At 56.3% G+C, this 22,018-nt stretch overlaps 2 protein-coding genes across 40 annotated transcripts in view, besides 9 other annotated features; one reads left to right on the forward strand and one right to left on the reverse strand.

Moving 5' to 3' along the window:
• PLCD3 (phospholipase C delta 3) overlaps window positions 1-6,066 on the reverse strand; it is a 23,557-nt gene extending 17,491 nt beyond the window's left edge. For all 3 annotated transcript variants that reach the window (NM_133373.5, XM_024450554.2, XM_011524253.4), the window contains exon 1: window positions 5,799-6,066. In NM_133373.5, the coding sequence (NP_588614.1) occupies window positions 5,799-5,961 (163 nt within the window). In that variant the 5' untranslated portion in view covers window positions 5,962-6,066. The remainder of the gene's footprint in view (window positions 1-5,798) is intronic.
• Window positions 5,148-17,727, forward strand: ACBD4 (acyl-CoA binding domain containing 4). 37 transcript variants are annotated; one of them, XM_047436765.1, is made up of 12 exons: window positions 5,148-5,267; window positions 8,892-9,143; window positions 9,393-9,504; window positions 9,659-9,783; window positions 10,051-10,171; window positions 10,243-10,327; window positions 10,570-10,690; window positions 10,919-11,005; window positions 11,311-11,381; window positions 11,464-11,539; window positions 12,572-12,711; window positions 16,994-17,727. In XM_047436765.1, exons 4-12 carry the CDS (start codon window positions 9,696-9,698, stop codon window positions 17,120-17,122), a joined length of 918 nt encoding a protein of 305 aa, XP_047292721.1. In that variant the 5' UTR covers window positions 5,148-5,267; window positions 8,892-9,143; window positions 9,393-9,504; window positions 9,659-9,695; the 3' UTR covers window positions 17,123-17,727. The 37 variants fall into 37 exon arrangements, with proteins under 37 accessions (XP_047292721.1, XP_016880581.1, XP_047292719.1 ...); XM_017025092.3 differs by lacking the exon at window positions 5,148-5,267 and adding an exon at window positions 6,170-6,752; XM_047436763.1 differs by lacking the exon at window positions 5,148-5,267 and adding exons at window positions 6,170-6,214; window positions 6,582-6,752 and having other exon boundaries at window positions 8,892-9,504.
• Window positions 5,870-5,999: a silencer, noted in NCBI's record as "silent region_8609". NCBI's record gives its function as "represses an Ori minimal core promoter by ATAC-STARR-seq in GM12878 lymphoblastoid cells {active_cell/tissue: GM12878}" and the evidence as "EXISTENCE:reporter gene assay evidence [ECO:0000049][PMID:35858748]".
• Window positions 6,100-6,319: a silencer, noted in NCBI's record as "silent region_8610". NCBI's record gives its function as "represses an Ori minimal core promoter by ATAC-STARR-seq in GM12878 lymphoblastoid cells {active_cell/tissue: GM12878}" and the evidence as "EXISTENCE:reporter gene assay evidence [ECO:0000049][PMID:35858748]".
• Window positions 6,790-6,859: an enhancer, noted in NCBI's record as "active region_12274". NCBI's record gives its function as "activates an Ori minimal core promoter by ATAC-STARR-seq in GM12878 lymphoblastoid cells {active_cell/tissue: GM12878}" and the evidence as "EXISTENCE:reporter gene assay evidence [ECO:0000049][PMID:35858748]".
• Window positions 16,504-17,226: an enhancer, noted in NCBI's record as "H3K27ac-H3K4me1 hESC enhancer chr17:43220320-43221042 (GRCh37/hg19 assembly coordinates)". NCBI's record gives its function as "activates a minimal SCP1, AML or CMV promoter by ChIP-STARR-seq in naive H9 embryonic stem cells {active_cell/tissue: H9 hESC(naive)}" and the evidence as "EXISTENCE:reporter gene assay evidence [ECO:0000049][PMID:30033119]".
• Window positions 17,227-17,948: an enhancer, noted in NCBI's record as "H3K27ac-H3K4me1 hESC enhancer chr17:43221043-43221764 (GRCh37/hg19 assembly coordinates)". NCBI's record gives its function as "activates a minimal SCP1, AML or CMV promoter by ChIP-STARR-seq in naive H9 embryonic stem cells {active_cell/tissue: H9 hESC(naive)}" and the evidence as "EXISTENCE:reporter gene assay evidence [ECO:0000049][PMID:30033119]".
• Window positions 17,227-18,113: a biological region, named in NCBI's record as "H3K27ac-H3K4me1 hESC enhancer GRCh37_chr17:43221043-43221764".
• Window positions 17,874-18,113: a silencer, noted in NCBI's record as "silent region_8611". NCBI's record gives its function as "represses an Ori minimal core promoter by ATAC-STARR-seq in GM12878 lymphoblastoid cells {active_cell/tissue: GM12878}" and the evidence as "EXISTENCE:reporter gene assay evidence [ECO:0000049][PMID:35858748]".
• Window positions 18,671-19,391: an enhancer, noted in NCBI's record as "H3K27ac-H3K4me1 hESC enhancer chr17:43222487-43223207 (GRCh37/hg19 assembly coordinates)". NCBI's record gives its function as "activates a minimal SCP1, AML or CMV promoter by ChIP-STARR-seq in naive H9 embryonic stem cells {active_cell/tissue: H9 hESC(naive)}" and the evidence as "EXISTENCE:reporter gene assay evidence [ECO:0000049][PMID:30033119]".
• Window positions 21,129-22,011: an enhancer, noted in NCBI's record as "H3K27ac hESC enhancer chr17:43224945-43225827 (GRCh37/hg19 assembly coordinates)". NCBI's record gives its function as "activates a minimal SCP1, AML or CMV promoter by ChIP-STARR-seq in primed H9 embryonic stem cells {active_cell/tissue: H9 hESC(primed)}" and the evidence as "EXISTENCE:reporter gene assay evidence [ECO:0000049][PMID:30033119]".

A 22,018-nucleotide genomic window follows, 5' to 3' on the forward strand; every position in this document is an offset into this window, starting at 1 on the left:
TTCAAGTGATTTCCGGCTAATTGTTGTATTTTTAGTAGAGATGGGGTTTCACCATGTTGGCCAGGCTGGTCTCGAACTCCTGACTTCAAGTGATCCACTCGCCTCGGCCTCCCAAAGTGCTAGGATTACAGGCGTGAGCCACAGCACCCGGCCTATTTTACCATAATTTTTAAAGTTTAATGATATAATATGCTGGAAACCATTGTATACTTTTTTTTTTTTTCTGAGACAGGGTCTTGCTCTGTAGCCAGGCTGGGGTGCAGTGGCACAATAATGGCTCACTGCAGCAGCCTCAAACTCTTGGGCTCAAACAATCCACCTACCTCAGCCTCCCGAGGAGCTGGGACTACAGACTTGCACTACCAGGCCTGAATAATTTTTAAATTTTTTTGTAGAGTTGGGGTCACACTATGATGCCCAGGCTGGTCTCAAACTCCTGGCCTCAAGTGATTCAACAGCCTCTGCCTCCCAAAGTGCTCCGCACTGTGTACTTTCAATGGATAAATTATAAGGTATGTGAATGAATATCTCAAAAATGCTGTTAAAGAAGCAGACAGCCAGGTCGGCACCCGGTGGGGCTGAAATGTGGTGGAAGTTGGGGGAGTCTGACCCCAAAGGGCTGTGTGTGGCCACAACAGGCACAAGCACATGGAGCCTGGTTTAGGCCTGGCCCATAGTGGGTGCTCAGTAAATGATCACAAAGAAGGAAACTGAGGCAGGGCTCTGGGGAAGTGAGTTAGTGCCCCGGGTGGAAAGAGGCACCCACGTGTTCTGATCCATCTGTCCCCTTAGTCCCATGGCCTCCAGGGGGTACCTTCCCCAGACCAGGACAGCGGCACCTCCCGCCCAATTCAGTGTTGTCAGCTGGGGCTCAGACACCTTCCCAAGCTGCCCGCTTATCTCAGCCTCAGAGAGGGGTCAGGCGTGCTGAGGAAAGGGCAGGCCCAGTTTCTCAACTTCCACCTGCAGCCCGGGCGGTTTGGGGCGTGGATGGTCTGGGGCCTGAGCAGTTCTGTAAGGGTAGCCAAGACCAGGGACCAGAAACTACCTCATGTCAGAGCTGGAAGGGGCCCCAAATCCCACCCTTTTCACAGGTGCACCACTGAGCTCAGAGAGGACAAGCCCTGTGTGCTGAAGATAGTGCAGGTCGCCCCCAGGCAGGGATGGATATAGAGGCTGTGCAGTGGAGACAGGCGCCAGGGCAGCTGGCAGGGAGGGTGGGAGTTCTGTCCAGGCGTGTCCCGGAGGGGTGGCATGCAGGCAGGGCAGGGTGTGTGTGGGGTGTATGCATAGGTGGGGAGTGTGTGTGTGCGTGAGACAGTGTGTGTGTATGAGTGTGAGTGAATGTGTGTGAGTGTGTGCGTGTGAGTGTGTGTGTGCGTACAGGGTTCATGGGTGGAGAGGGTGGAAGGTGGGCCAGCCAGGGGGAAATAGGCGGCTCGCACTCGGGAGGTGCACACAGGGCTCCACAGGAATGCGAGTCATGCAGGGAACTGCTACAGCCAGCAGCTGTGGCCAAGGCCGAGCAGGGAGTAGAGAAAGAGCGTTTCCAGGTGGCCGGGGCTGTGAGGCTCTAGGAGAGGACACACAATGGCGAGGGGTCCCAAAGACCCTCCCACCCTAATCCTTTAGCCAGCAGGCAGCCTCCACACCTCAGGCACCAAGCATGTCCCCCGTGACCCAGCTGGCTGCCACACCCAGGGCTGGAGCCTGGCGGGGGCTCGGTGCCAGAGTCCATAACATTCCTTGGAGAATCAACAAAGTCAGGAAAGGCAGGCGGTGCTTCCCTTGGCCCCGGGTGGGACACAGCAAGTGGGGGTGGCAGCACCCTTTTCTCTGGGGCCAGAACAGGCATGAAACCTGGTTGGGTGCGGAAGTCAGGGTAGGGGACAGGGAAAGATGTGAGGGGGACCACAGGGCCTGGCAGAGCCAGCCCCCTAGTCCCACCTGGCATGCCCCTGCTTAGACTGGAGGGCCACCCAGCTTACCCACCACCCAGGCCAGGCACCTGCCAGGGCTGGGGGTTGTTCTGAAGACCCTCACCTGCCAAGTCACCCACAGCAGTCCCACTCACCCTGCGGAAGACATCCCAGGCAGGCCATGGGCCGAGCCCTCTCGCTCAGGGGCACTTGGTAGTGTGTGTAGGCTGGGGAGGCAAGGGGGCAGGATTCTGCCCACTCAGGCCTCTGCCCATGGGGAGGATGAGGGGCAGGGGCGGAGCATCAGGGCACAGGCACACACGGGGCTGTGGGGACACAGGGTGGCCAGAGAAAATCCAGGACACCCGTTAAATGTGAAATTCAGATAAAGAATAATTTTTTAGTATAAATACATTCCATATTCCGCATTTAGCGGAATTCCAAACTTAACCGGGTGTTCTGTATTTTATTTGGCAGCCCTGTGAGGACGCTCCTGGGGGCTGGCAGGGCCCCCATGGGAGAGGAGCGGCCAGGAGGCCCCCTGCAGGTATCAGCTTCTCTATCAGTCACTGTGTGACAAGCACGGACTCTGGGCCACACTGCCTGGGTTCAAATTTTCTCTCAGCTACTTCCCAGCTTTGAACCCTAGGCAAGTTACCAAATCTCTCTGAGTCTTAGTTTCCTCATCTGTAAGAGAAGGCTACTGGTACCACCTACCTCATATTAGTGTGAGCATTACATGAGATAATATGCGAAAAGCGCCTGGGACAGTGACAAAATTGTTCATTAGTATTCATCAGGCTAGCCAAGAATGGTGGCTTACACCTGTAATCCCAGCACTTTGGGAATCCAAGGCAGGAGGATTCTTTTAGCCCAGGAGTTCAAGACCAGCCTGGACAACACAGTGAGACCCCAACTCTACAAAAAACAGAAACAAAATTAGCTGGATGTGGTGGTACCCAGTCTCCCAGTCTCCTGAGTCCCAGCTACTTGGGAGACTGAGGTGGGAGGATCACTTGAGGTCAGGAATTTGAGGTTGCAGTGAGCCATGATCATGCCACTGCACTCCAGCCTGGGTGACAGAATGAGACCCTGTCTCATAAACAACTAACAACAACAGCAACAACAAAAAGTATTCACTGGGAGCCATCATGGAAAACTAGGCTCTGGCAGCAGGCAGGCATGTGGCCTTGGGCGGTGATTTCACCCCTCCGCCTTGAGCTTCCCGTCTGTAATGTGACATGAGGACAGCACCTCCCGCACAGGGATGCCTGAGGATTAAGCAGGATCAGGTCTGATGCAAGCTCAGCACAGTGCCTCACGCATGGCGGGTGCTCACTGGGCTCTAGCGCTCCTCTCTCTTCAATGATTCCCTGCAAGTCCGCAGCCCAGCCCAGGAGCGGGGGACTGGAGGGGGGACAAAGGACTCCCACTCACTGTGGGGGTGTTTTCTTCCTCCTTCCCCGCTCATCTGGGTCTCCCTAGTGTGGCCCTAAAGGATTTTCCTTCCTCAGGCCCCTCTAAGCCACTCCCTGCCCTAGTCCCTTGACCTGATTTGATATAAAATCTATTCTCTGTTAGGCTAAGGGGTGTGGTGATGGCAGGGGCAGAGCGAGGCGGGGGAGGCTACCTGGGTGACAGGCCTAGGCCTTGGCCTCTGATGGCCCAAGGGGCTGGGCCCCAAGACTGGGTTTCCTTCTCCACCCTGTCCCTGGACTCCCTATGGCCTGGGGAAGGGACATTCCCAACAGACTCGGACTCAACATTCCTCTCTCTGCAGTCACTCAGCAGGACAGGGCAGTGGTGAGGAATGAGGGTGACCTAGATGACATTCTGATATCTATGTAGTTCCCGAGAGTGTCACCTTGATGAGGTGCCCAGAGCTCCCGTGCAGCCTTACTCAGCTGATGAGTACCGAGGCCCGGGCTCAGCTGTAATTATTTGTCTGCATGTGACTCTGCCCACTAAACTGTGCACTCCCTGAGGGCAAAGCTCTGTGCTACTCATCTCTGTAGCCCCAGCCCCTGGCACAGCACCCTGGCCCACTAATGGCGCTCAGCAAACGTGTGGGATGAAGAGGCCAATGGGCATGGGGCCTCCCCTCAGCCCTTCCGCGGCACCCGTGACCCTGCCAGGGCTGACTCCCAGGGCTGCCCTCAGCCATCCCCAAACCACACCATTTCTTAGCCCAGAGAATGACACCTGTCGATCACAGAGTCCAGCCCAGTCTATCTCCTGGGAGTTCTGGGGTCCATCCTGGGTGTCCCCCAAGTCTGGTCCCCACCCCTTGCCCAACTAACTCCTCAGCCTCCCTCCTTGGGTCTCCCTGTTTCGCCCCTGCCTTCATCCAACCTGCCCCCCACTCTCCACACTCACTCCTGCCCAAGCCCTTTCTGGGGCTCCTGATGCCCTCCAGATAAAGTCCATGACTCTCCAGGGAGGGCCTGGAGGAGCTCCTCCCACCCCCAGCCTCTCCCCTTTGCCACTCCCGTCTTCCTCAGCTGGGGCCAGCCAGGGCCTGCTGGCTCCCCAGCCCCTCATGTGCTGCCCCCTGTTCCCCCACCCCCAAGGTCCTGTTCCTTTGTTTCACTGTCTGATCTCCCTGCTGGAACCTCAGCTCTCTAATGCAAGAGCCCCAGGGTGGAGCATACCATAGGCACTCCACAAGTGCTTGTACCATAGTACCATACCATGGGCACCGCATAAGTGCTTGTCCAATGCATGCACAGTTGAATGGATGGCAGGGTAGAGATGGTGTCCTATGTCTCAGTAACCAGAGTGCCAGGCACAGCGCCCAGACATAGTCAGCGCTCAGGTGGAATGAGTCGAGGTAACAAGAAGGCAAAACTGGCAATCAGGACCCCTGAATTCTGCCCCAAGTTCTACACGGGGTCCCTGGCAGCCTTGTCCTTCTGTTCCGGAGTTCCACACCTAGCCTCTCCATCACTGACTATTCTACCAATGGCAGGTCCAACGCAGCACTTCAGTGGCGCGGTCCTTTCCACGTCAGACAACATTCTCGCACACACCCTCTCATTCAAGCCCTCCACTGCCCTGCGGGTCCCACTTTTCCCAGACTCTGAGAGGGTACCAGGGCCCATGTGGTGGGGCACCACCGGGGTGCCAGTCACACTTTGCCCTTTGTTGGCTGTGTGGTCATAGGCAAATTCCTTGCCGTCTCTGAGTCAGTTTCCTCACTTGTGAAATGAGGATTCACCTCCCACCTAGGAAGTCGAGGAAGATTGCAAGACACCACCTGTGTAACCCACCCAGTGCCAGCTGCCTCTGTGATGTTCCAATGAGCCACAGTTACATTCCTTCTCCACGACTGACTTCCCCAAATCTGAGGTGAGAGCCTTGGCTGTCGGACGTAGGCTGTTAGACCAGTCCTGCCAGAGCAGTGTGGCTGTGGCCGCCTCTGTGGGGCCGCGGCTTGGAGGGCTGCTGTGGAGGCCAGCCTCTTCTGCGGAGGCCGACCGCAAACTCGCATCCTTCCTAAGGGCTGCCAAGACCCCGAGACACCCTGGCAGAACCTAGATACTGCTGGGGAGCCGGACGAGGGACACCCCAAGCCTCCCTCTCCCGCTCCATTCTCCTTGGAGACCCCACCAGCGCCCCGTGCCCGAATTCGCGCTTCAGACGCCCCGCGAGCGCCCCCTGGTGGGAAGCAAAGAACACCCTGGGCGCCCGGCTCGCCCCGGGACCCTCGGATGACCCCAGGTGCGACCCCCAGCTGGAGGGAGCTGGCCCTCCGCCCCTAGCCATAGCCTCCCAGCCCCGTGCAGCCTGGGGAATCCACGAACTGCTCCCTGGAGCGCCCCAGACTGGGCCTCTGGGAACGGTCCGCGCCCACCCCACCGCCCCTTGCCCGTCACTGACCCATCTTCTTCAGCGCCCGCAGCCCGGGCCTCTTGGTGCCGCCATCGGAGGGAGTCGGCGGGGACGGGAGAGCGACCGGCGCCGCGACTTGGGCTGCGACCTGGGCGGCCACCGGGGGCTCCTCGGGCGGGCGGCGGCAACGCCTCCAGCGGCCGCACAGCATGGCTTGGCGGGGGGCCGGGGCCGGGCCCGGGGTCTGCACGCGGGGACAGGGCAGCGGGGCGCCGCTCTGGCCCGGCCCCGGCTCTGAGCGAGGCGGCGAGCGAAGAAACTTAGCGGCGCGGGAGGGAGTCGGAGGAGGCAGCAGGAGGTGGGGCGGGGCGGGGCGGGAAGGGAAGGGGGCGGGGCCGGGGCGGTGCGAGGGCGGGGCCAGGCGGTGGCCTGGAAGCCCGGAGCCTCAGCGCTCGCCCCTGCTCGTGAGTCCGTCTCCCCTTAGTCCGGGCGAGCCTCTGATCTTGGCCGCAAGGGTGACTAGAGCCCCCATGCTGCGGGGCTGGGGGTGGGAGCCGGCACCGGGGACGAGGGCCATCCTCTGGCACAGACACCCTCTCCTTCCCGGGGGCCCTGACTCGAGGCTGACGCAGGACCCCCTCCTCCTTCCCTTCCGCGTCCCCGTCGCGCCGCAGGCCTCAGCAGGGAACCAGAGCCGGGACAGGACGCAGGGCCGGGAGCGAAGGCAGAACCCCGGGAGCTGAGCCGCTCGGGGCAGCGCGAACCCGAAGGGATGGGCATGGGGGTGGGGAGGTTGGCAGTGACGTCATAGGATTAACCTCCCTGTGCCAGGCCAGGTGCTGCCCCCTCGGAGAGCCACAGTCTCGGAGCTGACGGACCTGGGGAGCGTGAGGCGGAGCCGAGCCTGGAGTCCCCAGCAACTGGTTCTGGGTTCGAGGCTTGGACAGGCCGGCACCCCAGCCCGGCACCCGCGGTGTAGTTGTCCGCGACGTCAACCCGTGGGTGGGCATCCGTGTGCAGGTTCTGGTGGCCGAGTCGGGTGTGCACTTACTATTTATATGCAAGCACCAGAGTGCGTGCGCGAAGTGGGGGACGTCCAGGTGGCAGCGTTTCTGCGGCCGGTGGCCTGGGTCCGGCAGAGACATGGGCGCACACCGCCACTTTGCGGCGGCCAGCGGCGTGGCATCCTACAGAGAGGCTAGTGCTCAGGGCCTGATTTGCCACCTACTTGCCCTGCTCTACCCCATCCTCAGATCTCCCAGGCCCAGAGATTCTGCACACTGGCTTGGGTCCCTACGCCACTCTGGGGTCCTGAATTTTCTTTTTTTTTTTTTTTTTTTTTTTTTTTTTGAGACGGAGTCTCGCTCCGTCGCCCAGGCTGGAGTGCAGTGGCGGGATCTCGGCTCACTGCAAGCTCCGCCTCCCGGGTTCACGCCATTCTCCTGCCTCAGCCTCCCAAGTAGCTGGGACTACAGGCGCCCGCCACTACGCCCGGCTAATTTTTTGTATTTTTAGTAGAGACGGGGTTTCACCGTTTTAGCCGGGATGGTCTCGATCTCCTGACCTCGTGATCCGCCCGCCTCGGCCTCCCAAAGTGCTGGGATTACAGGCGTGAGCCACCGCGCCCGGCCCTGAATTTTCTTCTTGATTATCGTATTCGCCTTTGTGCTTTTGATCCTGCCGTTCCTTCCTCCAGAAACAACCTTCCTTATTCTCCTGGTTTACCCTTTTGTTATTCTTGTTGTTGGATAGGCTAAGTCTACATTTCTTTTAATTGTTATGGACACTTAATAGTTGCAGAGAATTATGGAGAGGCATGTAATGTTTTGATACAGGTATAAAATGTGTAATGATCAAATCAAGGTAATTGAAGTAACCATCACCTCAAGCATTTATCATTCCTTTGTATTAGGAACATTCCAATTCCGCTTTTAGTTATTTGTATTTGTATTTTATTTGTTTATTAGAGACAAGGTCTCACTACTTGGTTGCCCAGGGTGGAGTGCAGTGGCATGATCATAGCTCACTGCAGCCTCAAAGCAATTCTCTTGCCTTGGCCTCCCAAAGTGTTGGGACTACAGGCCTGAGCCACCACTTCCCGCCCAGTTATTTTGAAATATACAATAAATTGGCCGGATGCGGTGGCTCACGCCTGTAATCCCAGCACTTTGGGAGGCAGAGGTGGGATGATCACTTGAGGCCAGGTATTGAATGAAGACCAGCCTGGGCAACATAATGAGACTTCTGCCTCTACAAAAATTGTTTTTAAAATAATTAATTTAAAAAGATACAATAGGCCGGGCGCGGTGGCTCACGCCTGTAATCCCAACACTTTGGGAGGCCGAGGTCGGCGGATCACGAGGTCAGGAGATCGAGACCATCCTGGCTAATATGGTGAAACCCCGTCTCTACTAAAAAATACAAAAAATTAGCTGGGCGTGGTGGCGAGCGCCTGTAATCCCAGTTGCTCGGGAGGCTGAGGCAGGAGAATGGCGTGAACCCGGGAGGCGGAGATTGCAGTGAGCCGAGATCACGCCACTGCACTCCAGCCCGGGAGAGAGTGAGACTCCGTCTCAAAAAAATAAATAAATAAAATAAAATAAACAAAATAAAAAGATACAATAAATTATTGGTAACTATAATCGTTGTATTGTGCTACCGAACACTGGATCTCATTCATTCTAACTGTATTTTTGTACCCATTTCCCCCCCTCCCCAGTACCCTTCCCAGCCTCTGGTAACCATCATTCTGCGATGTCCATTTTGCTTACTCTTTTTTTTTTTTTGAGATGGAGTCTCACTCTCGCCCAGGCTGGAGTGCAGTGGGGCAATCTTGGCTCACTGCAATCTCCACCTCCCGGGTTCAAGCGATTCTCCTGCCTCAGCCTCCCGTGTAGCTGGGATTACAGGCGCGCGCCACCACGCCCGGCTAATTTGTGTATTTTTAGTAGAGATGGGGTTTCACTATGTTGGCCCGGCTGGTCTCGAACTCCTGACCTCAGGTGATCCGCCCGCCTTGGCCTCCCAAAGTTCTGGGATTACAGGCATGAGCCACCGTGCCCGACCATCTTCCAAAACTGAGCTGTGATGTCCTTCCTCTAGAACACCTGACCACAGGACATGACTTTTTTTAATCCCCAGTGCCTAAGTGTCTAGAGAGCTGAGTGGGTTGCCTCGGATCGGCCAGGCCTGGATATCAGCGAACAGATGCGGATTTCCACCAGGGGGCGCTAGGACGCCACGACCTTTCACTATGTGCACCAGGGGGCGCTGCCGCCCGCCTTGGCCATCCCGGGCTGGGAAGTCCGACCCTTCGATTAAGCCCCGCCTGATTGGGAAAGGCTCTGAGAAACTATTTGCATGATCTTGAAAGAGCTGTGCTGAATGGTTGAGGTAGGTAAGCCGAATGTGAAACAGGCTCTCTCATTGGCCTAAATTCCCCCCCTCGATCTGCGTCGCCATCCCGGCCCTGCTGGACCCCGGGGTCAGTAGGAAGCCGCGGGGTGGTGGCGAGAGAGGACCCAGGTGTCCTGGCAGTGGGCGCCGCGGGGCACACGCTGGGCCAAGGTGCAGGCGGCCAGGGTGGGAGACTGTTCGCCCCGCCCTGAGTACTCCTATCTTGTTTCTCCACCTGTTCGGGAGTTGGAGATGTGCACCTAAAGGAGGCGCATCTGGGGACGGACACATCTGGCACTGAGGCCCTCGCCACCTGCCTCGCCACCTGGCGACCCTGACCCCACCACACTGCCTTGAGGTAGGAAAAGGAGGCTCCTCAACCACAACTTCTGACCTCCCAGGGTGTCTGAGGCCTCTAAAGAGCTTAGTTTGCCCCTCTGGGAAGTGAATCCTTGGCTTATGGTGCCGGGGGGACCCTGGAGGCCCCCTCACACGAAGGCTGCTTCTTGCAGAGTCGCTCAAAAGTAGGGCCCCAGGGCTCGCAGCAGCATGGGCACCGAGAAAGAAAGCCCAGAGCCCGACTGCCAGAAACAGTTCCAGGCTGCAGTGAGCGTCATCCAGAACCTGCCCAAGAACGGTGAGGCTGCGGGGACTCGCATTTGGACTCGCATTCAGGACGCCTGGGGTCTGACTCTGAAGAAAGAATGGTCCTGATCACTGCAGTTTTTGCAGACAAGCCCCTGCCTGGGCTGTCCTGGGGGTTCCCTCCGCTTCCTATCCTAGTCCAGATGCCCTGGGTGGGACCCATCACCACCTCTGCCCTTTCCAAGCAGGGTTCTCCCGCCCCTCCGCCCCTTGGAGCTGGGAGTGATGCTTTGCCCTGGCTTCCCAACTCTCTGCCCAGGTTCTTACCGCCCCTCCTATGAAGAGATGCTGCGATTCTACAGTTACTACAAGCAGGCCACCATGGGGCCCTGCCTGGTCCCCCGGCCCGGGTTCTGGGACCCCATTGGACGATATAAGTGGTGAGCTCCCTGCTGGCTGGGCAGACAAGCCTCAGCTGTCAAGCAGCCCTCTCACAGCCCTCTGCCCCCAGGGACGCCTGGAACAGTCTGGGCAAGATGAGCAGGGAGGAGGCCATGTCTGCCTACATCACTGAAATGAAACTGGTGGCACAGAAGGTAAGGGCTGCAGGTTCTCTGTCCCCAGGCTCCTGGCCAGGTGGCCTCACCCTTCCAGTTCTGACCCCCACTACGTTTCCTACACATGGACCCCCTCATGGGAATCACCACCTTCATGTTACCCCCAACCCTGCCTATCTTTGGCCCCTGACTGGGCACAGGGTGGAGGTGTGTGACAGGGCAGGAGCAGGGAGGAAGGGACAGGAGGCCACTCCGTCCCCAACAGACCCCCTCCCCTACAGGTGATCGACACAGTGCCCCTGGGTGAGGTGGCAGAGGACATGTTTGGTTACTTCGAGCCCCTGTACCAGGTGATCCCTGACATGCCGAGGCCCCCAGAGACCTTCCTGAGAAGGGTCACAGGTCAGACTCCCAGGCTGGGAGCTCCAAAAGTGCTGAGTGAACCGTCTTAGGTCTAGGCTGAGGTGGGCTGGGGGCAGAGGGCTCCAGGCGACATCCCTGTTAGGGCCCCCAAGCCCCCGAGAGGTGGATCCCAGGCAGCATCCACGGCTCATCACGAGTAGGGGCTTGATCACACTGGGAGGTGCCAGCCTCTCCCCAGGCCCACCTCTGGGTGCTGTGTCTTGGCAGGTTGGAAAGAGCAGGTTGTGAATGGAGATGTTGGGGCTGTTTCAGAGCCTCCCTGCCTCCCCAAGGAACCGGCACCCCCAAGCCCAGGTTAGTGCTTGAGCAGGAGGGGTGGACCAAACTCAGGCTGGGGGAGGGCTGGAGGGGAGAAGGCTGGATGCCACGCTGTGCCCTCCACAGACACTGAGACTTCCTGTGCTCCCAAAGGTGGGGACCGGGGTCTAGGATTCCTGTTCCAGGGCCTTGCTTCTGGCGCCCATCTGTGCCTCAGGTGTTGATATCTCTAGTGCCTCGTATCTCTAGTGTCTCCTAAACAGGTGCTTCTGCCCAGTGCACACTCCTGCTCTCCCTCCACAGCTTCCCTCTGGGCAGTAACTCTACCAACCCCTCCACAGAGTCCCATTCACCCAGGGACCTGGACTCCGAGGTTTTCTGTGATTCCCTGGAGCAGCTGGAGCCTGAGCTGGTGAGCCCAGTCCCCATTCCCCCCTTTTCCCACCCCACTGTGCTCCCACTCCCACCCTCAGCTCTCTGACTCATCTCAGCAGGTTTGGACAGAGCAGCGGGCAGCATCTGGAGGAAAGCGTGATCCCAGGAACAGCCCCGTGCCCCCCACAAAGAAAGGTGAGCTCCTACCCAACCTCTCACCCACTTCTGCCCTTTCCCGTGGTCCTGGCACCCCAGGCTTTCTCTTGGCTGCCTTCCTAGGGCAGAGTTGAAAGTCCATTGCTGGGCACTGAGCGAGAAGCCTCTGTCCAGGAAGGGCTGCCAACCAGCCAGATACCTGCCTGGATGGGCAAAGTCCCCGCCCTCCCTCCTCTCCCCAAAGGGCACCCAGGAGTCTGCACCCTCTGCAGGTCCTGAGTAAGGCCAGCGGGATGGGAGTCCTAGCCCAGTTCTCCCACCTACAGCTGCACAGCCTCAGGAAGTCATCCATATTCTCTGGACTCCCCCGTTTGGAAATCTCAGAAGACAATGAGTTCTGCCCTCTTCCCTTCTAGAACTCCTGTTGTGTGTCAGGTCCTGTATGGACATTTTGAAAAGTTTCTCCTTTTTTCCTCTGAGCAAGCAGCCCTGTGAGAGAAATGACATCTTCTCCTAATTTTTAGATGACAAAATGATGCCCAGAGAAGTTAATGACTTTGGCCGGGCACGATGGCTCACGCCTGTAATCCCAGCACTTTGGGAGGCCAAGGCAGGCAGATCACCTGAGGTCAGGAGTTTGAGACCAGCCTGGCCAACATGGTGAAACCCTGTCTGTATTAAAAATACAAATATTAGCCGGGTGTGGTGGGCACCTATAATCCCAGGTATTCGGGAGGCTGAGGCAGGAGAATCGCTTGAATCCAGGAGGCGGAGGTTGCAGTGAGCCGAGGTCATTGTGCCACTGCACTCCAGCCTGGGCAACAGAGCAAGACTGTCTAAAAAAAAAAAAAAAAAGGTAATGACTTGATCTGTGTCATAAGCGGCCATGCTGGGATTAAACCCATAGCAGCCCATTACTCAGCTACATAGATGGACTTTGCAAGAATCACACTTGGTACAGCGACTGGGTTCCACTCCTACACTTTCCTGGGCTTGCCCCAGCCTGCCCCCACCCTGCCCAGAGCTGAATTGCCTCCTGAGCCCCCTTCCCTGTGTGTCTGTGCTCCGCAGAGGGGTTGCGGGGCAGCCCGCCGGGGCCCCAGGAGTTGGACGTGTGGCTGCTGGGGACAGTTCGAGCACTACAGGAGAGCATGCAGGAGGTGCAGGCGAGGGTGCAGAGCCTGGAGAGCATGCCCCGGCCCCCTGAGCAGGTAGAGTCCCCCACCCCATAGGACAAGATGATGGCAGAATCCGGTCTTTATTCTGGGCTCCTCTTCCAGCCACTTTTGTTTTTGTCCTCACGCCTCCACCTGCCCACATCTCTCTCCAGAGAATGGCATGGCTCCTGCTACAGGCAGGAGGTGGGGGTGAGGGTGGAGGGGGCTGACATGCTTCTACTCTGAAGGCACAGTGGGTGGGGCCCTTTGCCGTTCTCCCCTCCCTCTGCCTGGAGAGAAGCTAAGCCTCAGGACTAATCCCGTGTGGGAAGGGCCATGATGTGTCTGCTCTGGGCATTGAGGATGCGGGTCCCTATTGCCCCTCAGTCAGGACTTCCATTCCCAGAATTAGGATTTGCCCCAAATGGTTCAGCCCTTGCATCCCTCTCCTCAACTCCTAGCTCTGCTTGCCTCTGACACTTGGGATCCTGGGCTCCTGCAAACTAAATAACAGCTGCCATTGCTGGAGCCCCGCTGGGTGCGAAACACTCATGGGCATCTTCCCACTGAATCCACACAACAGCCCTATGAGATAGAGTTTCTTTTCACCTCCCTTTTAGAGAGGGAAACTAAAGCTCCAAGGGGCTAATTTGCCTGAGGGCACACAGCCTGGGAGAGCCTCTCTGAGCTACTGTGAGGATTCAACCATGCATGTTGGTGCTTCAGTGGTGCCCACCAAACAGAAAGCCTTCTCCAGTCGGTTCTGTTGCTACTATTGCTGTTAATATTAACATTAAGCGATGGAGTTGGCAGTGGCCCCTATTCTGTCTCCCTGCAAAGCTGGTACCCACCATTAACTCTGAGTGGGTCTGTTCTTGAAAAGCCTGAGGTAGTGGGGGCAGAGAGGGCTGGGTTCCCAGATGTGAGGCATCTCTGGGGTGACCGCTAATCCACTCAGCACAGCAGGTGTGAGCCCACAGCAGCAGGATTTCCTCAGATCCACGATGGCTAACTTTTCAACACTGCTCCTCCCCCTCAACAGGGCTTTCTTTCTTTTCTTCTGTTTTTTTTTTTTTCTTTTTGTTTTTTGTTTTTGAGATAGAGTCTTGCTCTGTCGCCCAGGCTGAAGTACAGTGGCATGATCTCGGCTCACTGCAACCTCCGCCTCCCGGGTTCAAGTGATTCTCCTGCCTCAGCCTCCGGAGTAGCTGGGACTACAGGCAGCACCACCATGCCCAGATACTTTTTGTATTTTTAGTAGAGACGGGGTTTCACCACGGTCCCCAGGATGGTATCAATCTCTTGACCTCGTAATCCACCTGCCTCAGCCTCCCAAAGTGCTGGGATTACAGGTGTGAGCCACCACGCCTGGCCCCCTTTTCTTTTTTTCCTACCATTTACTACTTTTAAATGTTGAAGATTTTAAAGTAGATTACAGGCCAGCGTGGTGGCTCACACCTGTAATCCCAGCACTTTGGGAGGCTGAGGAGGGAGGATCTCTTGAGCCTGGGAGTTCGAGACCAGCCTAGGCAACATAGCAAGATCCTGCCTCAAAAAAAAAAAAAAAGATTCTAAACATCATGATGTTCCACCCCGAAAGAGTTGGGTTCATATTCTCAAAATAGGCTGGGCGTGGTGGCTCACGCCTGTAATCCTAGCACTTTGGGAGGCCAAGGCGTGTGGATCACCTGAGGTCAGGAGTTCCAGACCAGCCTGGCCAACATGGCAAAACCCCGTCTCTACTAAAAATACAAAACTTAGCTGGGCGAGGTGGCAGGCACCTGTAATCCCAGCTACTCAGGAGGCTGAGGCAGGAGAATCACTTGAAACTGGCAGGCAGAGGTTGCAGTGAGCTGAGATGGTGCCATTGCACTCCAGCCTGAGCTACAGAGCAAGACTCCATCTCAAAAACAAACAAACAAAAAACCATATCTCTCAAAATAAGAACATTCTACCTAGCCCAAACAACATTTTATTACACACAATTATTAATTTCTTAATATCATCAAATATCCAATCTAAATTCCAGTTTCTCCAGTTATCCTGAAACCGCCTTTTCCAGCTGCTCTGTTTTTCCAGGCTAGGACCACACATTGCATTTGTTCCCCTTTCAATTCTCTTTTAATCTAGCCCAGTCCTTCTCCTTGCTATTGACTTGCTGACCAGTCTGGGCTGGTGTCCTATAGAATGTTCCACCTTTTGGGTCTAATTACATCCTCATGGGTGGTTCCTCGATACACATTTCCTGTGAACTGGAGGTTAGATCTAAACACTTGATTAGAGTCACATTAAACATTTGGGCTGGGCATGGTGGCTCACGCCTGTAATCCCAGCACTTTGGGAGGCTGAGGCAGGCAGATCGCTTGAGCCCAGGAGCTTGAGACCAGTCTGGGTAACATAGTGAGACCCTGTCTCCACAAAATATATGTTTAAAAATTAGCTGGGTGTGGACTGAAGCAGGAGGATCACTTGAGCCCAGGAGATTGAGGCTGCAGTGAACTATGATGGTGTCACTGCACTCCAGCTTGGGTGACAGAGTGAGACCCTGTCTCAAAAAAACGCAAAGCACAAAAAACCACAACATTTTGGACCAGACTACATCAGAGGTGATGTTTTTTCATGGCAGAGGACACATGCTATCTGGATGTCCCATTATTAGTAACTCTAGCATGGACCACTGGCATGGTTGAAGGGGGTCTGATCCCACCATTGTAAAGTCATGTTTTCCTCCTGCAGTCGGAGAATATCCAGTCCCCCATCAACTCCATTTGCTAGTTTTTGACAATTGCTAATCCTTGCCTGAGTCAATAATTTAGTAATTGCCAAAAAAAAAAAAGCTGACTTTTAAATGCTATGATTCCTTTAACATCTACTAGCTATCAGCTATCATTTGTATACTCTTTCCTTCATCATCTTGGGTTTCCCTGAAATACAGTGGAAAGGCAAGATAAATACTTCATTCTTTCTCTTTAGTTATCTATTTTTAAAGTAAGAAATTAATTTAGGCTGGGTACGGTGGCTCACGCCTGTAATCCTAGCACTTTGGGAGGCTGAGGTGGGTGGATCACCCGAGGTCAGGAGTTCGAGACCAGCCTGACCAACATGGTGAAACCCTGTGTCTTCTAAAAATACAAAAATTAGCTAGGCATGGTGGCAGGTTTCTGTAATCCCAGCTACTCAGGAGGCTGATGCGGGAGAATCGCTTGAACCCAGGAGGCGGAGGTTGCACTGAGCCGAGATCACGCCATTGCACTCTAGCCTGGGAGACAGAGCAAGACTCCTCAAAAAAAAAAAAAAAAAAAAAAAAAAAAAAGAAAGAAAGAAAGAAAAAGAAAGAAATTAATTTAAAAGCCACCTAAATGGTGACAAAAATTCCAGTTTTCTCTTGAGTATCACTGTGGGCTCATGGATTTCACAGATTCAGTATTCCCAGGAGCCACAGTAATTCTTTTTTTTTTTTTTTTTTTGAGATGCAGTCTCACTCTGTCGGTCAGACTGGAGTGAAGTGGCGTGAACTCAGCTCACTGCAACCTCCGCCTCCCCGGGTTCAAGCAATTCTCTGCCTCAGCCTCCCGAGTAGCTGGGATTACAGGCGCCCACCACCATGCCCGGCTAATTTTTTTTGTATTTTTAGTAGAGACGGGGTTTCACCATCTTGGCCACGCTGGTCTTGAACTCCTGACCTCGTGACCACCTGCCTCGGCCTCCCAAAGTGCTGGGATGACAGGCGTGAGCCATCCCACCCGGTCTGCCACAGTCATTCTTTTTTATGCTCAGACAGTCACAACTTTGGCCATTCAAGACCCTTTCATACCGGATCTTATGTTCTTATAACACGACCTGATGAATCTTTAAAAGCGACCTTGCTTTCCTGGTACAAGGCGCCCCACATTCACTCCCACCTTCCCTGCCCCAGGCCTGGAACCAGCCACTTCTCCAAGGAGCCTTGGCTCCTTTTTAGTGGAGAATGATACTTGGAAACTAAAATCTAGGTACCCAGGGTCCTCATTTGACATATGTGGCACATCCTTAACAACACAGGTCTTCAGGTCATACCAAGGGTCATTGCTTTGTGGCCCAGAGAAGATGGCATGGAAGCCGCTCCCTCTACCCGCAGCCCCGCCAGCCTCTCTTGATACTGGGATTGCCCTGGGGAGGAAGATGTGGGAGGGAGTTGGCATTCAACCTGTCAGGACCACCTGGGGGCCACTTCCTTTCTAGTGGTGCAGACTTAGGGGCAGGGTCTTTCCAATCTTCCACTGAATTGGAAGCAGGTTCCTAGGGAGGCTGTGCTGAGGCCTGGACTGGCCTCTGACTCCCTCCCTCTTGGCTGCAGAGGCCGCAGCCCAGGCCCAGTGCTCGGCCATGGCCCCTTGGGCTCCCGGGGCCCGCGCTGCTCTTCTTCCTCCTGTGGCCCTTCGTCGTCCAGTGGCTCTTCCGAATGTTTCGGACCCAAAAGAGGTGACTGTCAGTGGAGGGGTCTCTGCAGCCAACTGAGACTATCTTGCTGTGCCCTGAGCCTTCCTAGGGTTTAGAAGAACAGCATTCAAAATTCCCCGTCCTGTCAGTGTTTGCCTTCGCACCTCCTCCCCTAAAGCAGCGCGGGGGGCAAATAAGACCCCACCCCTCCCTGCAGCTTCACAGGGACGCTTCCTTCCCTCCCCGCAACCACCCCAGGCTCCCCTGGGAGGCTGCAGTTGTGGTACACGTCCCCGGTGCTGGGTTGGCCGTGACTCGGGGGCGGGGCGATCGGGTCTCAGCCCCTGCCTTCCCCAGTCTCTGGGTCACCCGAATTTTCCCACCCCTGCTTCTCCCCGAGGAGGTTGAGCTCTTGAGCAAGTTGGGACTTGGGCCGGGGCCTGGAAGAATGATTGGCTGGGAGGCCGCGGGAGGGAGGCCAGGAGGCCCGGACCAGTTGGGAGGAGTGAGCAGGCCCCGGGGGAGGGGGATGAGCGCAGTTTGCTCGCTTTCCTCCCCTGCCGGCCCCCTCCGCCCCCACACACACTCGGGACGTCTTCATTGAAGATTCACTTACAAAGGAATGTTTCACTAAATAAAAGAAAACCAGAATCTTCTGCTGTCTGGTCCCCTACGGAGGGAGCGGGGAGCGGGGCCCGGCGCGAGCGAGGCACAAGTCCCTTTCCTGCTCCCCACCCAATGCCCCCCTGATGGCCCTGAAAGAAGCCAGCGGTTGGTGTTTCTGAATGGGGAATATTTTCCCTCCTCCCCGGGCAAGCGAAGGGAAAACAGGCCTCTGTGTGGAGGGGAGAGGGAGGGGAACCAAGGGTGGCCCGGGCTGGGAGCGGGGCGCCCTTGGGAAGGCGGGGCCAATGCGGGGGGCCGAGGGCGCGGCCCAGCCCGCCGCCCCGTCGGGGACGCGGGGTCCGAGCGAGCTGGGGGTGGCGGGGAGGAGCGGAGCACGGCTGGGCGGGGCCGAGGAGCTGGTTTGGCCCCCGCCCAAAGCGGACCGCGGCTGCTCCAGCTCCGCGCCCCGGGCGTAGAGATGGGGTTCCGAGCCCCCGGCCCCAGAAATGTCCGCTGCCCCCTCCTCAGCTGCCTCAGTTCCCGGTGCCCCACCTTGACCTCCGGGCCTGGGCCTTCCCAGGGGATTTTCTGGGAGGCCAAGGCCCAGCGAGAGCCTCGTCCTCGCCCCGCCCTGAGTAGGGAGCAGGGCCCTGCGCGCCTGGAAGCCCCTGTCGGGGTGGGCCGAGCGCCCGCGTGCAGTCGCCGTCGGGGGGTACGGGCCAGAAGCCTTGGCCTCCCTCTGTCCAGCACAAGCCCTGTCGTCCGTGGGCCGTCTTGGCTCAAGCCTCGGTCCGGCCTGTATTCAGTGGCGAAACTGGCCGCTCTGAGGGCCGCCTGGTGCCAGCGCCTCCAAGTCCACTGGCCAGGGTCTCTACCGCAGTCCCCCGCCGCTGCCACCACCTGGGCCCTAGGACCTTCCTACCCCTGGGTAAGGAAGAGGCAGTTCTGAAGGCCCCTGGCTGAGATCCTTAAACTCCTGAGTTCCCTGTCAGCCTCTAGTCTCGACCACCGTCCCAGGCTTCGCCATCATTGGCCCCACTGGAAGCCACAGTCACTCTTTAGTCGTCAGTCCTCTCAAAGCCGGGAAGGCATCCCTGAGGCTAGACGGTGCGCTCTGCACCTGCACGGCTCAGCCCAGGGTCACAAGCACAGGCTGAATAGCCCCTGTGATAAGGCTGGACTGCAGCAAGCAGGACAGACAACAGCAGGGCCACCTTGGTGGGGGATGCAGGCCTGGAGCTGAAGCCAGCTCCACCACTTGCACAGTAGCTGTGGAACTTGGGTAAGATATTTTTTTTTTTTTTTTTTTTTTGAGACCGAGTCTCGCTTTGTTGTCAGGCTGGAGTGCAGTGGCGCGATCTCGGCTCATTGCAACCTCCGCCTCCCAGATTCAAGCGATTCTCCTGCCTCAGCCTCCCGGAAGTAGCTGGGACTACAGGCGGGGGCCACCACGCCCGGCTAATTTTTTGTATTTTTAGTAGAGATGGGGTTTCACCATGTTAGCCAGGATGGTCTCGATCTCCTGACCTCGTGATCCGCCCACCTCGGCCTCCCAAAGTGCTAGGATTACAGGCGTGAGCCACCGCGCCCGGCCCCCTTGGGGAAGATTCTTAACTGCTCTGGCCTTGGGTGGCCTCTTTTGTGAAATAGAGTTGATCTCTTTTTCATAAGGCAGTCCTGGGGTTTACCAGTGATGGGGCATGTTAAATGCCTGGCAAAGGGTTAGAACCCAGCTAACAGTAAGGTTGCCTGGCCCCTTGACAGAATTCTAGAATTCCACAACCTATTCGTCAGTCCACCTCTCCCCCAATAGAACACGAGACCATACAGTGGAGCCCAGTCCAGGACACTGAGGCTAGGCTCAGCAGTGCCTTCCAAATGCCCTGACTGGGGGTACCCCAGAATCCTCTGGAGTCTGAAGATGGGGTAACAATTTGGAGGTCTCTGTGATAACTCTCTGTGATAACCAAGTTATCTGCAAAATCCCTTTTTCCTCCAGGAGTGCTCTGAGGGGCAGTTCTTGCTCTCAGGAAGCCTCCTAAGGGATGAAGCCACACGGAGTGGCGAACTTTTCAGGTGGACCCGAATTCTTGGAAGCCCAGAGAAAACAAATGAAGGTGTTCATTTTCAGAACATATAGCTGTGCCCAGAGGCCCGCGTGCTTGCGGCTCCCCTTAGAGGCATCTACATTGGCCATGCCCATCACCACTGGCCCCCACCCCCGATATCTCACACTGCCCAGAGCCACCGAAGTCCCAGACTAGCCCTTTCCTGGCACATGATGCTTGGGCTTCCTAAAATGCCCCTCTTCGTGCCACTTTGCCTGAAAGCTCTTCATCCTTCAGAGCCAGCCAGGAAGTCACTTGCTCCTGACACTTGTCCATAATTCCCAGCTCCCATGCACTCGGCTCATCAGCTCCCACCAGGATTTCCCTCACTTGCCATTTAGGCTGGCTGTGGTCTGATGGCCTCTCCACAGTCCAGGAGCAACTTGAAGGCAAGAATGGCATCCCACCCCTCTTTGTACCCTCCTGTTTGCCAAGTGATATAGGGGCTGAATAAGGTTGAAGTTGTTGGGAATAAAAAGAACGAAATCCAGAGTATTCCCCGATTTTAAGAAAAAATGGGTTTTGTGTTTGTGACAGAAAGAAAAATGGCACGGGGGGGGTCACAAAGACCAGCGCTCTAGCCAGAACTGCCCCATGGTTGTCATGTGACCTTGGACAAGTCACTTATTTTCCAGTGTCTTAGAGATGCCTTATCTGTAAAATGGAGACACTCATTCCTATCGTGTCTAACTTGCCAGGCTGTGGTGAGGTCACATGGCTCTGTGCGTAAAAGGTACACAGTGCAAACGTGCTGGAATGTCAGGGATGCTATTAAGGAAGCAATAAGAAGAAAGGGTCACTGGGTGTGTGGCGAAGGAGAAGTGGAAAGGGCGCCAAGATTTTAGGCCTCAGTGACTGGTATGGAGGGTTCTCTGGGTCCTCTCAGTCCCTGTTTATGGAGGGCTGGGGGCTTGGGTCTAGAGAATTTCTCTCTGAGAAACTACGCCCCCGGGGGAATCGGCCCCCCCAGCCCTGCGCCAGAATCCCCTGCAGCAAGTTTCGGAGCAAGGCCTCCTCCATGCTTCCCTCCCAGTCTTGCCCAGCGCCCACTGATGAGGAAGGGCCTCTGCGGGTGAGACCTGCTTCCCTCTCGGATAGCCAGGGCTGATGATTTCAACTCATTAATCATTCCGAACTCTTCCCAACAAACAGCCTCATGGCTGTCCCGGACCTCCTCTGTCCCGGCTCAGGAAATGATCTCGGTCGGAAGTGAAAAGACCAAATCGGCCCCAGGAGGCCATTTTCTTCGACAGAAGCTGAGGCGTGGGGGCGTGGCCTTCCCCCGCTTCCCCCTCCACTCCCCCGCCCGCCCCCGGCCCCGGCTTTCCGATCTCGGCCCAGGGAAGAGCCTTGGTCGCGAATCACCAGTTTGCATTTGCCCCTGGGGCGGGGGCGGCTTTCTGAGACCAGGCTGGGGCTGGGACTCCGCCACCTTCAGCTAAGGGTACCGAGGTCAGTCCGGGAGTCGCGTCACCGGGACTCGAACCCGCCTCTTCGTCTTCCGAGGCCTAGTGCGAGCCTGCGGCGCTAAACGCAGTCACACTGTCCCTTTAAGGCGGCACTTTTTATTCTTCATTTGTTTACTTCTTCATGCGCTCTTCGGTCTTTACAAAATGTGCTCGCGATATCCTTCCGCAAGTGTCAGTCTCAGGCACTCACCACCCGCCTTGAAGCCATTTCTATAATCTTAAGACTCGCGAGTTAGCAGCCGTGGGCCGACGTCTCTCTTTATAGGATTTAATTCTTTTACATTTTAGGGACTACTTTTTAGGAATAAACCATTCTTGCGTTAGTTAATAAAGGTTCATAACCTTCGGAACCCCTCCGCTGAGAACAAAATACGATAATAGCCTTTATAACGCACCTTTTCATAAAAATATTCTGTGAGGACTCTCATAGGCCATCGAATCTTCTCGTATTCCTGAAACAGAATGGTACGGTCCAGAACCCGCCCCATCTTCTCTGCGATTGGCCGTCCTTCCTCAGCGAGTCGTGTGATTTTTCACCAATGGCCGCTCGCGTTTCTTTAGCGAGGTCTAAGCGATGGAAGGTGGCGGCCAGGGAGACGCCCCCTACGCGTCCTGGGATTGGCTACGTCGCACGGCGCGCGAGGGCGGCGGGCCCGAAAGATAAGAACTACGACTCCCGGCGCCCCGCAAAGGGAACTCCGTTACGCATGCGCACGGGCGGGGCGAAAAAGCTTCTATATAAAAGGGGCGCAGAGGACT

This window comes from Homo sapiens, chromosome 17 (genome assembly GCF_000001405.40).
Source record: "Homo sapiens chromosome 17, GRCh38.p14 Primary Assembly".
Lineage (NCBI taxonomy): Eukaryota > Metazoa > Chordata > Mammalia > Primates > Hominidae > Homo > Homo sapiens.